The 15,041-nt window shown below is 39.3% G+C and overlaps 1 long non-coding RNA gene across 2 annotated transcripts in view, besides 1 other annotated feature; it reads left to right on the forward strand.

The window, feature by feature from the left end:
- LOC101927947 (uncharacterized) overlaps positions 1-15,041 on the forward strand; it is a 469,997-nt gene that overhangs the window by 300,049 nt on the left and 154,907 nt on the right. For both annotated transcript variants that reach the window (XR_007058336.1, XR_007058335.1), the window contains one exon: positions 13,245-13,371. This is a non-coding gene — a long non-coding RNA (uncharacterized LOC101927947). The remainder of the gene's footprint in view (positions 1-13,244; positions 13,372-15,041) is intronic.
- Positions 8,726-9,020: an enhancer, noted in NCBI's record as "tiled region #8445; K562 Activating non-DNase unmatched - State 24:Quies". NCBI's record gives its function as "weakly activates a minimal TATA promoter and a strong SV40 promoter by Sharpr-MPRA in K562 cells {active_cell/tissue: K562}" and the evidence as "EXISTENCE:reporter gene assay evidence [ECO:0000049][PMID:27701403]".

The following is a 15,041-nucleotide window of genomic DNA, read 5'->3' on the forward strand; positions in this document are numbered from 1 at the left end:
ACAAATTCTGATCAGTAAGTCTGGGCTGGGGCAGAGATTCTACATTTCTTTCTTTTTTTTTTTTTGAGAGGAAGTCTCACTCTGTCACCCAGGCTGGAGGGTCTGCATTTCTAACAACTGCCCAGATGCCACTGATGCTGCTGGACCACAGAGACCACAAAGTGAGGGTCTGTGATCAGAACAAGACCAAGAGTTCATGACCTGTGTCATGGGCTTTGTGGGAGCTTTTCTACATGGCAGGGAGGGAATAGAGGCTAAGTATAACCTCCTCTAGGAATCCCTTGTGGGGTGATGAGGGCTGGACTGCAGGTCTTGATACTGCTTTCTGGTCTGAGGGCAGGTGGGAGAGGGGCTGAGTTGGTGGTAGTAGAGTTAAGAGCAGCCACATCTGGAAAACATTTGCTAGATCTGGCCTTGTGGGGAAGGACCCTGGAGTACTTCCACTCAAATTCCTTCTGGGGGTTTCCATGCATGCATCAGTTTCATGCTCTAGACTGTGATTTGAAGTTTCTTTCTTTCCTGGGGGGTATAGAGGAAGATGGGAGGAGGCAAACAAAAACAAAAATCAAAACGTTTGGAGGGAAATTGGCTTGAGAATCTCACAAAAGATGTTTGTTATATTTAATTGGAAAGGAAAGGGTTTAAGGTGGAAATAGGTGGCCAGAGTCAGATTATTTTTATTTCTGATCTAATTAGTTGCTTAATGTAGTACTAAACATGAACAAGCCTTAGTAAAGCAAAATGGAAAGACTTCTAGGCAAGACTGAAATCCACATTGCATTTTCTTTTGACCAGGAGATTTTCTTTGCAGTTGAATAGGAAAGCAAATTAGACTGGATGGTCTGGTATTAACCCCAATTTGGATGGACAAGAGACTCCTTGAACTTCAGTGCATAACCAAAGAATGAACTTGAAGTAGCTGAGGATATCTGACTCCCTCTGTAACTGCAGAAAGAGAATTGCTGTGTAAATGGGTTTATGATCATATGGCAGAGAGAATGTTCATTCAGTGTTTAGTGCTATGTTTGAAAACAAGAAAGTTTTTTTGCTTTCTCCATTCTGGTGAAAGTTAAGTATGTGCTTTCTTCTTTAAATGAAAAGCAAAGGCAAGAGTGTTGCTCTTTTACCTTCAATTTTTATGACACTGGAATCTCTCAGACTCCTGAATTATACAAGTCTAGAAGGAACACAGGTTATTCTTTAGGCTAACTTAATACAAATTAATAAGAGTTGCTTAAATTTATGTCATGTATGTCAGTCTTATGGGACCTTTGCCTTTAAAGTACTACAATTATTGTTCAATAAAACAATATTAAGGGGTCTGACTTCAGCTAGGAGAGTTCTCAAAACATCTAAGTGGAGAGCTACAATTCCTGGAATAAGATGACCTTCCTTTTCTTTGCTTTTGAGTATGTCTCAAAAATTAGATATGACATCATACTTAATGTGAGAGGCTAGATGCTTCCTCGCTAAGATCAGGAGCAAGACAAGAACATCTGCTTTCACCAATTCCATTCAACATTATATCAGATGCCTTAGCTAGGTCATCTGGACAAGAAAAATAAATAAAAAACATCAGATTGGAAAGGAAGAAATAAAACTGTTTCTTTCTTTTTCTTTTTTTTTTTTTGAGATGGAGTTTCACTCTTGTTGCCCAGGCTGGAGTGCAATGGCATAATCTCAGCTCACTGCAATCTCCGCCTCCCGGGTTCAAGTGATCCTCCTGCCTCAGCCTCCCGAGTAGCTGGAATTACAGGTGCCCGCCACCACACCTGGCTAAGTTTTGTATTTTTAGTAGCGACAGGGTTTCCCCGCATTAGCCACAATGGTTTCAATCTCCTGACCTCATGATCTGCCTGCCTCGACCTCCCAAAGTGCTGGGATTGCAGGCATGAGACACTGCGCCCAGCCTAAAACTATTTTTATTCACAGATGATATGATCTTGTATATGGTAAATGTTAAGAATTCATGAAATAACTCTTCAAACTAATCAATCAGGTCAGCCAAGTTGCAGGATACAAGATGAGCAATAAAATTAACTGTTTTTCTACACACTGGCAATGAGTAATTTGAAAAGGAAATTGAGAAAACAATTCAATTTAAAATAGCATCAAAATGAATACTATACCCAGGAGTAAATTTATCAAAAGAAGTTCAAGACTTGTACATGAAAAACTTACAAGACACTGTTGAAAGAAATTCAGCATCTGAATACATAGATACCTCATGTTCATGGATTAGAAGACTTAATATTGTTAAGATAGCAATGCTTCCCAAATTAATCTACAGATTCAATGTGTTCCCTATAAAAATCCAAATAGCTTTTTTTTTGGAGAAATAGAAAAGCTGATCATAAAATTCATATGGAAATGTAAGAAACCAAGAAGAGCCAAAACAATTGTGAAGAAGACAACATTGCGGGACTCACACTTCTGACCTTCAACATTTGCTACAAAGCTACAGTAATCAAGACATAGTGCTGGCATAAAGATAGATATAAATATCAATGCAATAGAATTGAGAGTCTAGAAACAAAACACTTACATTTATGGTTGATTGATGTTCAACAGGATGCTAAGACAATTCAACATATAGTAATAGTCTTTTCGACAAATGACATTGGGACAACTATATATCCATATGCAAAAGAATGAAACTGGATTAACTTTATATTGTGAAATTAAATCAAATGGATAAAAGATAAACACTTAAGAGCTAAAAGTGTAAAACTCTTAGAAAAAAGCAGTAGTGAATTTTGATAATCTTGGATTAAGCAGTGATTTCTAAGATTTGGCACCAAAATTGAAAGCAACCAAAGGAGAAACAGCTGAGTTGAATTACATCATAATTAAGCAAATTTTGTAATAAAGTGATAAAATCGAGAAAGTGAAAATACAATATACAGAATGAAAAAGGATTGCAAATTATGTATCTGATAAGGGACCTGTATCTGGAATATATAAAGAAATTTTAAAACTGAATAATAAAAAGAAAGCCCAATTAAAAAGTGGGCAAAGGATTTGCATAAACATTTCTCCAAAGAAGATATTCAGCCAATAAGCACATAAAAATACCCATTATTATTAATAATTAGAGAAATTGAAATTAAAACCATAATGAGACACTACTTGACATACACTAGGTTGACTGTTATAGAAAAGACAGACAAGAACAAATATTCACAAGATGCAGAGAAATTGGAACCCTCATAAATTTGTTGGAGGGAATGTAAAATGGTGCAGCCATTTTGGAAACAGCTTGGCAATGGAGAATTATCATGTGACTGAGCAACTTTACTCCTAGGTTTCTATCTAAGAGAAATGAAAACATCCAACCCCAAAAGACTTGTACATGAAAATTCATAGCATCATATATGAATGTTCGTAACAATGTTTGGTTATTATGAATAATAATATCCAATAATAATTATTATGAATAATAACCAAACATTGGGGACCACCTTAAATTGATAAATGCATAAATAAAATAAAATGTGCTATATCTGTACAATGAGATATTGTCCTGAAATGAAATGAAGTTTTGACACATGGTATGACATAGGTGAAACTTGAAAAGTGAAAAAGGCCAGAAGCCAGCTGCAAAACCCTCACATATTTCATGATTCCAATAATATGAAATGTTTGAAATACACAAATCTGTATCTAGAGGAAGTAGATTAGTGGTGACTCAGGCTGTGGAGGAGAGAGTTGGGGGGAATAAGGGGGGACTGCTAGTGTGATGGCTGTGGCATTTCCTTTGGGGTGATGAAAACATTCTAAACTTAGATTGTGGTAATGGTCACACATATCTGTGAAGATGCTAAAACCATCGAAATGTCCAGTTTAAACAGGTGAATTCCTTGATATGTGAGTTATATCTTAATAAACATATTTAAGAATAAATAGGATTTTAAGTATGGAAATCTAAGTTGTGTGCTACATAATAATTTTCTCTTCCTATTTCTCCTTGTTTGGTTGATATTAAAATGAATGTATGATTATTTTTTCGACCTATAGGTGGCCAATCACATATGGTTAGTTCCCTTTCTTATGCAGAGCTTCATTGTGTGTAGGCAAAGACCAGATCACTACAGAGTGAAGAGGAAAAAGTTATATTCCCTAAACACTGAAAGCCTGATTGCGGTATGTGCCTAGTGCTTGGTGCTCCAAAATAAAAGAGGCTTCCTGTCTTAAAAACTTTTTTTCTTTATTTATTATCTAATGTATTGATTAGGTCTAATCGACAATGAAAACTTGATAATCTAATACAGGATGGTAAATGGAGTTTTACAAATAGTAAATAAGAATAAGAATAAGAAAGTTTTATTCTAAGTCTTATTATAAGAAATAGAATAAGACTCAGCTTTGGAATGTTGTAAAGATGAGGTGTGTCTCATTCCATGGACATGTTTCACTGAAGAGGCAGAGTAATAATAACTCAGTAAAAATCACTGCAAACATTTGTGCTACTCTTTTTCTAGTTTGCATGGCCCCTTGCCTAGCCATTACCATTGCTTTGCTTAATGCTCCCAGCATCCTATGTGAGGTAAATATTGCTACATCCAATGTAAAGAAGAGGCAAGGGTGGTTATGCACCAAGATCCCCTACTTCAAACTCTGGGCCACTACTGGAGGTCAGTGATTCTGTGAGATTTTACATGGAATAATTTTGGAGAATACTTGGAAGACAATTTTTTTAAAAAAGCAAATAGGAAAAACCTTACTGAGGGAGTAAATTCAGGCAGCCCAGCCAATCTCTAGAAAATGGGTAAGACATTCCTCTGTAAATTGTAACACCATCACTGAAGCACCTCACAGTAGAGACAAAGAGCTTCATCGATTTGGACATCTACTTAAAGGCTCATTTTGCTCAATGCGCAGCCTTTGTTAAGTTTGTTATTTTTCTCACCACAGAGAGAAAGCAATAATTGAAATTGCTACTTGGTTTTAAATCTGAATCATAACATAGATTCGGGTGGTATCTGGAAATAATGGGAACTGTAGAAAAGTGTGAAAAGGTTATCACTGAATGATTCTGCCCAGAAATGGATGTGTTAGGCATCAGACTTAACTTGGAGTTTGGGAAAGTAGTTTCAAAAAAGTCAGTAAAAAGTTGGATAATTCCATAGCCAGAGACTCAAAAGGGTAGATGCCCAAGAGGTATGGAAAGTTCTGACAGGCAAAATTCTGACCTTTAAACTTGAAGAGTGAAAAAAGAGAAAAAGACTCGAGAAAGCAGCAGGTTTTCCCAGGGTGCTCTTTGAGAAACTGGGAAAGGACTTAGCCTAAAAGGTGGAAGGAGGGTCCCAAAATTGTGGCTATAAAATCCTGGCATGTTCTCTGATAATAACGCCAGCTAAGCACAGCATCAGAGTGGGCTGAAGTTTTCTAAAAATACCAGAGAAATTTAAAAAGAGACATTTTTAAAAGCGTTGATTGAAAACAAGAAATTATGGCGCTCGTAACAAGGACAATAGAGGTGTAAAGAGACCTCTAAAACAGCACCACTCTTCTCCTGCCCAAGTCCGTATTCTCCACAAAAGGGAAAGAACTTTAAAAGCAACGGGTGCCCAGACCCAGTGGAGATGAGACCACCAGAAACTCAGCACACATAGCTAAGGAGCATTTCGACCCTAACTGAGGTGGATGCATGGAGGAAATGAGAAAAGAAGTAAATAAGCAAATAAATAATACAAAAGTAAGTGTGTTTGTTAACTGGCAATTCAATATGAGGCTACAGCACAATGACGTAACCACATAATGAGTGGGTTTGAAAAACAGTCAAAACTGCGGCTTTGTTAGTAGACTGAGAGTGTTGAAAGTAGAACAGGCAGTCTTACCCTTCAGTGCTGGCTAGACCACATTTAGAGTGTTGTGTTCCATTCTGTGGCCCACACTTCAAGAGGGGACACAAGAAACTGGAGCACATTATTCTTCTTGGAATGGAGAAGGAGTTGAGGGTAGATAGACAAAATGGTGTCGAGTCCCTTCTAATGCTATGATGGAAGAACGCTTGAAAATTCCCTTCCTAGCACTGTGCACCTCCCAAGCCCTAGCAAAGTAACTGCCTTTCCTCCAGGAATGCTCTTTGCTAAAGGGGAGCGACGCAGCTCTTTCATGTGAAGGTAGGAGCAGCATCTGGCCTGGACTCTCCTGGGAGACAGCAATGTAGCAGGTGTGAGAGCGTCAAAGCAAAGCCACCATGACTGTGGTGCTGCTGAGGACCTGAGGCAAGTCCCTTTCTTCTGCACCTCATTTTGCTCAATTGCAAAGTGCGGAGAATATGTAGGGAATTTAGTCCAGTGGTTGACATGTGGAAAACCACCAGAAACACGCATGGAGATGTTTAATTTTGGAAAGAGTCTACCCTGAGCTAGTCCAGCAGCACCAGTCATCCTTCTTCCTACAGTCCTATCTGTACTCCACGCCTTTCAGAAATACCATCCCATTTGGGATAGGCCAATGCATCCCGAAGAAAATGGCGAAAGGACGGATCAAGGGTACCGTCTGCTACTTACTAAGCAATTTCAGATTCCAGTTCTGCATTCACTTTTCTCAAGGTTGGATTCATTCCCCACTGCTACCGAAACAGAGACAATGGAGGTATTCTCCGCTCCTAATCACCCCCTTGGTCTCAATATTGATATTTAATAGGGTCATGTGGGCTGCAGGGGGCTTGGCTCTCAAGTCCTCAGGGTTACCAAGATTCACGGAGGCAGGGCTGGAATTTCGAAACACTCAGTTCTGACCCAAGCGCTAAAATGGCAAGGACCTTCCTGACTACTATTAATAATTGGTCCCTGTGCCCAGCAGAGTCTGACGGCACCCTGGCGCCAGGGCCTGGGGTGGCAGTGCGCCGTGCCAGACCCGGCAGGGCCTGGACCTAGTGGGGTCCGGGAAGGGCTGAGCGTGAACCATTCCCGCTTCTGCGCTCGGGCGCCCAGCACACCAACCCGCTCAAAGTAGAAGGGCCTGCTGGGGCTCTCGGACGCCAAAAACATGTTAGAGAGTAGCATTTTAATGAACTGAGTGTAAATGCATTAAAAACACATGGAATTAATGCTCCTTGAAATAAACATAGGCTTAAAAAAACGAGGAAAGCAAATGTTTTGGCAAAACACATTTTGGGTTTTTTGAACCCCAAATATTTGAAAACTATTCATGCAATCTTAATCCAGAGTGCCATTTAGCTCTCCTGTGGTGACGAATAATATGAAAGTAGGAAAATTCAGCGTCTTTCTCTATATTCGTGGGATTTCCACAAAGACACAGACCAACAGGAAGGCTTTCAGGGAACAGTTTAAAAAATACTTAGGAAATGCAGGTTTCGGTGTTTGAAAAGAAATGACAGGAGGTAAACGTGTGTTATTTGATTGATGGAAGGCAAAGGAGTAAACAGCTGACATATTATTAATTTGAACGCTGAGGTGCAGCACTAACCAAACACTGAAACTTAATGCGTATGACTCAAAAAGCCACAATCTTATTTAAAAAGAATAAAAATATGAAAAAACCCTCTCTCAATACATTTTGAAATCCTGTATTTATGTATGGGACTTGACAAGAAAGTAAAACTGAAATAGGAGAGTTCCCTGATCCCCCTTGCAGGACGTGCTCACCTGCCTATAGGACAGGCTCACTTGCCTATCAAACCCCTAGCTGGAGGGGGAGCATGCAGACAGGCAGGTGCAGAGGCAGGGGGAGTGCTTTGGGCTCTGGCCCCGTGGTAGTGTCTAGGGGTGGGTGCTTGCAACCCCAGAGTTACAAAGCTCTTTCAGCTTTGCTATCTACAGATGGCTTGAGTGTTAGCCAGCTCAATGGACCCTCTGCTTTTTTGCAAAGGCAGAAGACCAGTGTGACAGCTTTCTGTATCCTGAGCTCTTGCCCAGCATCCTGGAAAAATTGGGTCACACTCAGGCTTGAAGGGTGAATGTGAGGTTTTATTGAGTGGTGGAGGTGGCTTTCAGTGGAATGGATGGGGAACCGAAAGCGGGGGTTGGAGTGGGATGGTAATCTTCCCCTGGAGTCAGGCCACCCAGTGGCTGGACTCCTCTCTAACCAACCCAGCCAGACTCCTCTCGGCATTCAGACGATCCTCCTCTTCTGTCTTTCTCTGTTGTGTTGTTCCACCATCCCTCTGCTGGTCTGCTGGCTTGATGGTCGGCTTCTGGAGCCTGGGGTTCGGGATGTATATGGGTGCAGCATAGGGGGTGTGGCAGGCCAAAAGGCAACTTTTTGGGCGTGAAAACAGGAATGCCTGTCCTCATTTAAGACCATGGGTCTTCAGGCTTGAAGGTAGGGCCTTTGCTGGGGAACTGGCCTCTTCTACCCAGTATTTTCCTGTTTCCTGTCTGTATCAAAACTACCTGGAAGGCTGAGGGCACTCAGGCCAGGAGCACACCCACCTGCCATATGCCCCACCTGGGCCTGTACCTTGACCACCAGGCCCAAGAAAGATAGACCCCTTCAACCCTCTCCACCACCTGTTTGGAGTGCTCACTGACAACTGACATTCCTAACCCACTCCTAGTGCCAGATCCAGTCCTGGAAATCTGACAGTTTGAGCTTCATCACCCTAAGGTCCTTCAGCTGTCCTCCAGCTGCCCCCTCTATTTCCCCACCTCTCTAGGAACTGATTTCCCAATAGGCACGTGCTCTCAGATGGCTGTTGGCTCAGGTGTTAGCTAATAAGCAAGGTGTTTGCTGACAAGGGCTTAACGCCTCCCAGAGGCATTTGCATTTTAATAGGGATTGTTACAAGAATTCAACCCCCAAAGGAATGAAGTTATGATGGTAAAATGCCAGGAACCCATGTGGATATTTCAGAGCAGGGAGCCCTCTCCTTGGATCCTAACACCTGGTTAGCTAGCCCTGTCTATAGCTCTCTGGAGTGGAACATGAGATCATTTCTCTTCACCCTGCGGGGGCTGGCAATCAGCTCACAAAGTGAGGTAGCCATCTTTAAACAGCAGGATCCAGAGTCCCAGAAATCTTGACTCAGCCAGATGGGATGTCAGAGGAAGCTTCTGAAGAACTGGAGACCAGTTACAGCAAGCCGCTATGGAACATCTCTAGGCCAGATTCGGTGTTATCTTAAAGGTACCAGTTTCTAAGCAGTTGCTGACCTCAGGGAACTCCCTGTTTAGTGGAGGATGGGCCCTCTCAACGAAGATACAGGAGCACAAAGAGGGAGAAGGGGTTTCTGCAGTTGGCTGGGGGAGCTCTCATCTTTCTCCCCGCACAAGCTATTCACCACGCCACTGCTCCGTCTCATCTCTGCTCCTTGCATCTTGCTCCCCGCCACGTTATGCACATTTGGGGCCTTTTTAAAGTTATAAAACTAAGGTAACTTTATTTTAGAAGTTTTCAAATTACAGAAAAGCACAAAGCAGGAGGTAAAAATCCATAATATCACCATCCCTAGGATCACAGGGTTAACTACTATTTTATGTTCTTCTAATCTTTAATCTACACTTGGGGATCTATTTTTTATAAGCTAAAGATCATAAATATATCATTAATACAAATATATTAAATTCTTATAATTTGTAAAAGTCCCATATTGTTAAACACACTTTGAAAATGTATGTTTTTATACATATTCCATATTATGAAAGGTGATGATCCATCTTACAAAGGGTAATAATTAACAAAGAACTTTGTGATATGTTTAGGTTTTAGCAAAATGTCTTTAATTCTTTATTAAATAGTCAAGCTCATGGGGAAGGAAATCGTAAAACTGTAAAAATATTAAACACAGGAGCTTGTATTGAGCAATATATAACATTTTAGGATGATGCATCTCTTAAAGAAGGTTTGATAATGTTGCATTTTCATTGAAATTAACTCATAGAAATGTGAAACATTATCATTTTTCATTCCAGCCATTGTTTTGTAATTTCTATTACCTAAAGTGTAAATTAACCTTGAGGTTAATTTAGGTTAGAGGTCTGTATTGCATAATAGAGAAAAACCAACAAGTCTTATTATTTCTAGGAGAATTTAGTATCTTTTTTCCCTCAAATGTCAGAATCTTAGGGAACAATGAGGGAACATATTTTGCTAGCAAAAAGTGTATTTGCTTTGAGATTTTTTTCCCCTTTGGCTTAACATATCTGGCAACAAGCATCTTACACGAATTTATTTTCTTAAAGGGAAACTCACACTTCTGTAACAAATACATGTTTTTCTTCTGGAAGAGGAGCTTTCTTGCTACTGCCCATAGTATGTATGGGTATAGCCAGCCACTTGTCTAAGACAAAGCTTATTGTACAAACTATATGTTTAGAAAACATACTTTGACTCTTCATGGTATCTCAGTATCTCAACCATGACTATAAACAAGAATCACCTGGAAAGCCTGTTAAAATGTCCCAGGCCTTACATTCCAACTCATTATTGGGGTGGAGAATAGGAGGCAGGGGTCCTCATTTTTAAGAAGCCACACAGGGGATTCTAATGTCCGAGGGCCACACTTTGAGAAACACTGCCCTGCTGAATAAAAGCCCAACTCCTTAGCATGGGATCCAAGTCCCTCCTTAATCTCATTCCTATCAGGCCCATCTCCCAACACTAGACCCAGCCATTCTTTGTCACACTGATGGCTCATTCTTCCCTAACACAGCATTCTACTCCATGCCTTCATCCCTTTGGTCAAGTAGTGTAGCTGTCTTTTCCTTTCTGGTCTTAAGAACAAGTAATTCTTGTTCTTAAGAATTTTCCTGCTAATTGGTGCATATCATCCTATTGTGTGCCTAGTGGTTTCCTAGTGCTGTTCTAAGCAATATATATGTGTGTGTGTAAATATGTATATTTATATAAAAATAAATTTGCTTATATATAAACTTATAATTTATATAAAATTATATAAATAACCTATAAATCATACATAATTTCCATATAAATGTATAATATATAATTATATTATATAAAATATATATTATATATAATTTACATATGAGAATTTATATAATATAATTTATATGTTCACATATATTATGTATAAATGTATATGTTAATATATGTAATTATATACAATTTTAAAATATATAATATAAAACAATATTATATAAAAATTATACTATATACATTATAAATTTATTTATATATCTTTATAAATATTAAGTATTAAAATATTGATAAATTAAAATATTAAACATTAAATATTTATGTAGAAATTTATATATAAATATATATACACATACACATATAAAAATTTATTTCATCCTTCCCACCTCTCTATTAATATATTATCATTCCTATATTGCAGCTTAATAAACTATGGCTGAATTAAATGAGTAAAGAGATGAATGAATATTATGAATATTTGTTCAATGTAAAAACAGCTGGAGTAGTGGAGGGGAACAGACCCCACATCCTAGGCCTGAGACTCGGGGGACATGGGAAATGACTGTTCACATTTCATAGGAATACGAAGATAATGGGTGCTATGGTCTGCATGCGTGTTCCCCAAAATTCATGTGTTGAAATCCTCATCCACAAATTGATGATATTAAGAGATGGGGCCTTTTTGGGACATGATTGGGTCATGGGAGGAGACCCGCCCTAAATGGAATGAGTGTCCTTATAAAAGAAGCAGGAAGTGTTTGTGTCTTCCACCACAAGGACACAGTGACAAGGTGCCATCTGCGAACCAGGAAGTGAGTCCTCACTAGACACTGAGTATGCTGGCATCTTAATCTTGGACTTCTAAGCTTCCAAAACTGTGAATAAATTTCTGTTGTTTATAAGCCATCCTATTTATGGTATTTGTCCAAAAGAACTGTGATAACGGGATGCTGATCATTCAGAATTTGAAAGAAAAGTATTTTAAAAACATCTGTCTCAATTTTTTGTACATATTATGTTGAAATTACAGCATAGCAATGCAAATCTTTTTATAATTTTTCACACCTACTCAAAAATATGCTATGGAGACCTTCATTTATGGGCATAAAATATGCTGCTTCCTAAGGCTGTCCTGCAGGGGAGGCTTTTCTTCTGGCCCTGTACTGCTCTTTAGTCAAGCCTCTCTGTGTGCCTCTCAGTTCCTCAGACACATCATTTTCTCTCTACCTCAGAGCCCTGACACGTGTGGGCCTCCTGTGTAGAGGCTTTCTTCTTGCTTAGTTTCAACTTGTCTTGCAAAGCCCAGATCAGATGGCCCCACCCCTAACATTTTTAGGGCTGGAAGCAAGAATGCAAATGGAAACACATGCTATAGACAGAATTTAGACTTCTCAGATTCCATGCAGTTTCACATGGGAGTGCTGTGGTGTAAGAACAGGGACTCCTGACTTGTGGCCGAAGCCTCATCTTTCTACTTTCCCCATCCTTGGCTCCTCTCATCATGAAAGGAAGAGCTTGTGAATATCCCAGTGTGTACGTCAAAATCCACACATACACACATTGCAAGCAAACTCTCTTGGTCATCACCCTGAAGCCTTGGGGTGTACCTATTTGTCTTAGTTCCCACTGGCATGATAGACCCAGGGAAGAGGCTTGAGGTGCTTTCAGTAATTCAGAGGTACAGGGCACCCCGAGCCTGGTCTAGAATGGAGGTGTGGGCTTCTTTGAAGTGCTGGTTGTGGTGACTCTTGCCTGGGGCCATGGGTGGCACTAAGCTCAAACATCCATTTCTCCAAGTTTAATCTTCCAGATAAACTTTCATACTTCTCTTTGAAGTACTTAATAAGGAGAACTCATTCAAAGTTTAATGAGTTATTGTTCAAACTGGTGGTATAAGGTCTGACTCCATTGCAAAAAAATCATTTCACAAGGGCGGAGCTGAATCTTGTCTTGTTCACTTCTGTTTTTTCTGTTGTCCAAAACAGTGTCTGGCAAACAAATGGTGCTCATCATATATTTGTTGAATGGATTAATGAAAGTCCGCTGAGACTTCTAGAAATAGTTTGGGTCTCTCAAAAATATTTTTAAAACTCTGCTTGGCTTTTTCTTATATATCTGCATTATTATCAACATTAGCAGCTTTACAGACTAAAAGTTTAAATATCACAGAAGATTTTCTAGCACTTTGGATCTAAAGATAAAGTCCTCAGTGGGAACTGCAGGGATAAAGGATTTAGGTAAGATTCCCAGGCACAGGCCCATACAAATATGTGTGGTGTAAATCCTATAACAGAATACCAATATTATATACAGAACCTTTTCTTTGTGGCAAATTACAAAGTTAGCATTAAAAAAATCAAACTGGAGGTGAAAAAAATAACATCTATCCTTCACAGGACTGCGTGCAATTCTACTTGGAGATCTTCATAACACCTTAAGGGAAAAATCCTTTTTGAAAGAAAAACAAGTCTGGGTGGTGCTTGAAAATTCAGAAGGCAGCTAGAAACTCTGCCAATTACAACTGTAAGTAATAACACAGTATTAAATTTTATTTTCCATTTTTAAGACTGGATTTTTTAAAAGCAGCAGGTATGTGGAGTGATATTTCTAACAGATGTTTTGAAAAAAAATTAATAGTTTTATTTATCTTGGTTGGTATGAAAACTTTGACCTTCAAGGGTAAGGTTTTGATTCACTGAGAGATGGAATCCTTATGGACAGAGGCCTGAATGCCTCAGTTTTGGGTTTTAGTTATTTTCAAAGTTTTTGTCCTCTTTTTCCACCTTATTGATTAGTGGGCAAAAATTATCATCTAAATTTGAAATTCTGTTCTCACTTAAAGCTTATTCTGTAATTCTGAATAATCTAGAAAAGATAATATTGTCTATATATCGGTCTTCTCGCAAAAAACACTGAGAGATGACAAGGCCACTTCAGCCAGAAGCCACTGTATCTGGCCACAATTACTATCCTTATTTATTGAAAACTGTATTACAAGCCATGGAAATTCAAAGTGCTACAGAAACAAACACTCTTCCTTTAGAACCTGCTCAATTTCCCAGGAGCTTAACAGAACTCTATCTTATATTCTCTCTGGGAAAGATAAAATAGCAAACAACAAAACTCAAGGTCTAAAAATAAAACCAGTTAAATCAACTCACGGTGTAGCAGAACACTGCCACTCATCTGGTCACCTCTATAAGACTCACCTGTTTAACCCTGTAACCCAGAGTTTCTCAGCATTGGCACAGTCAACACTTTGGGCTGGTAAACCTCATTTAACTTCTCTTCTTTAACTCCTACTTTTTGTCATTGTGATAAATATGCGCAACATAGAATTGATCATTTTAACAATTTTTGAGTGACAGTTCAGTGGCTTTAAGTACACTTATATTGTTGTGCAACCATCACCGCCATCTAGCTCCAGAAATTTCTCATCTTCCCCAACTGAAACTCCATGCCATTAAATAATAACTCCCCCTCATATCCTGCCCCTAGTCCTGGGAACCACTTTTTTTTTTTTTTTAAATTCTAAAACTACCCACATCCTTGAGGCAAAAGTAAAGTGTGAAGGTGCATGAGTGTGCTCATATGTGTGTGAGTGTCATGATAATTTCATTAATTTAAAGGGCCAAGGACCAGGTACTTTCCTCCCCACGCATGAGTGTTCTGTGGGGATTAGAAGACCAGGCTGTACTATCAAACTGCCCAGCTTCAATCCTGCCCAAACCCATTGTTGACTAATGTGAGGGATGTTTCAGATCTGCCTGCCTCAGTTTCCTCATCTAAGCAGAGTTGGTTATAGTACTATCATGTAGAATTTGTGTGAGGATTAAGTGAGTTAAACACTAAGTACTAGGACTACCTCACACTCCATCAAGTTCAAATTCTGCACAACAGTGATCTCCAGATCAGTTGCTGATTTTGGCCAAAAGCCTCATGGCAGAACAGTTTGTTGCCATAGACATAGTAGATATTTAATCCCACTGTCTTCTCCTTGTTACAATGGATATCTAACTTGGAGTGTAATATGTTAGCTACAAGAATCTGGATTTCGTTTTCACACTCTGGGATCAGAAGACATAATCATGAGCAGACTTTGACTGCGACTCAAATGCATGCAGTGTATACAGACGCGATGGCTGCCAACTCAGCCAGGAGACCCGCGTTCTTGAATCAGATGTTTCTGTTGT

The sequence above is a fragment of the Homo sapiens genome, chromosome 4 (assembly GCF_000001405.40).
Source record: "Homo sapiens chromosome 4, GRCh38.p14 Primary Assembly".
NCBI lineage: Eukaryota > Metazoa > Chordata > Mammalia > Primates > Hominidae > Homo > Homo sapiens.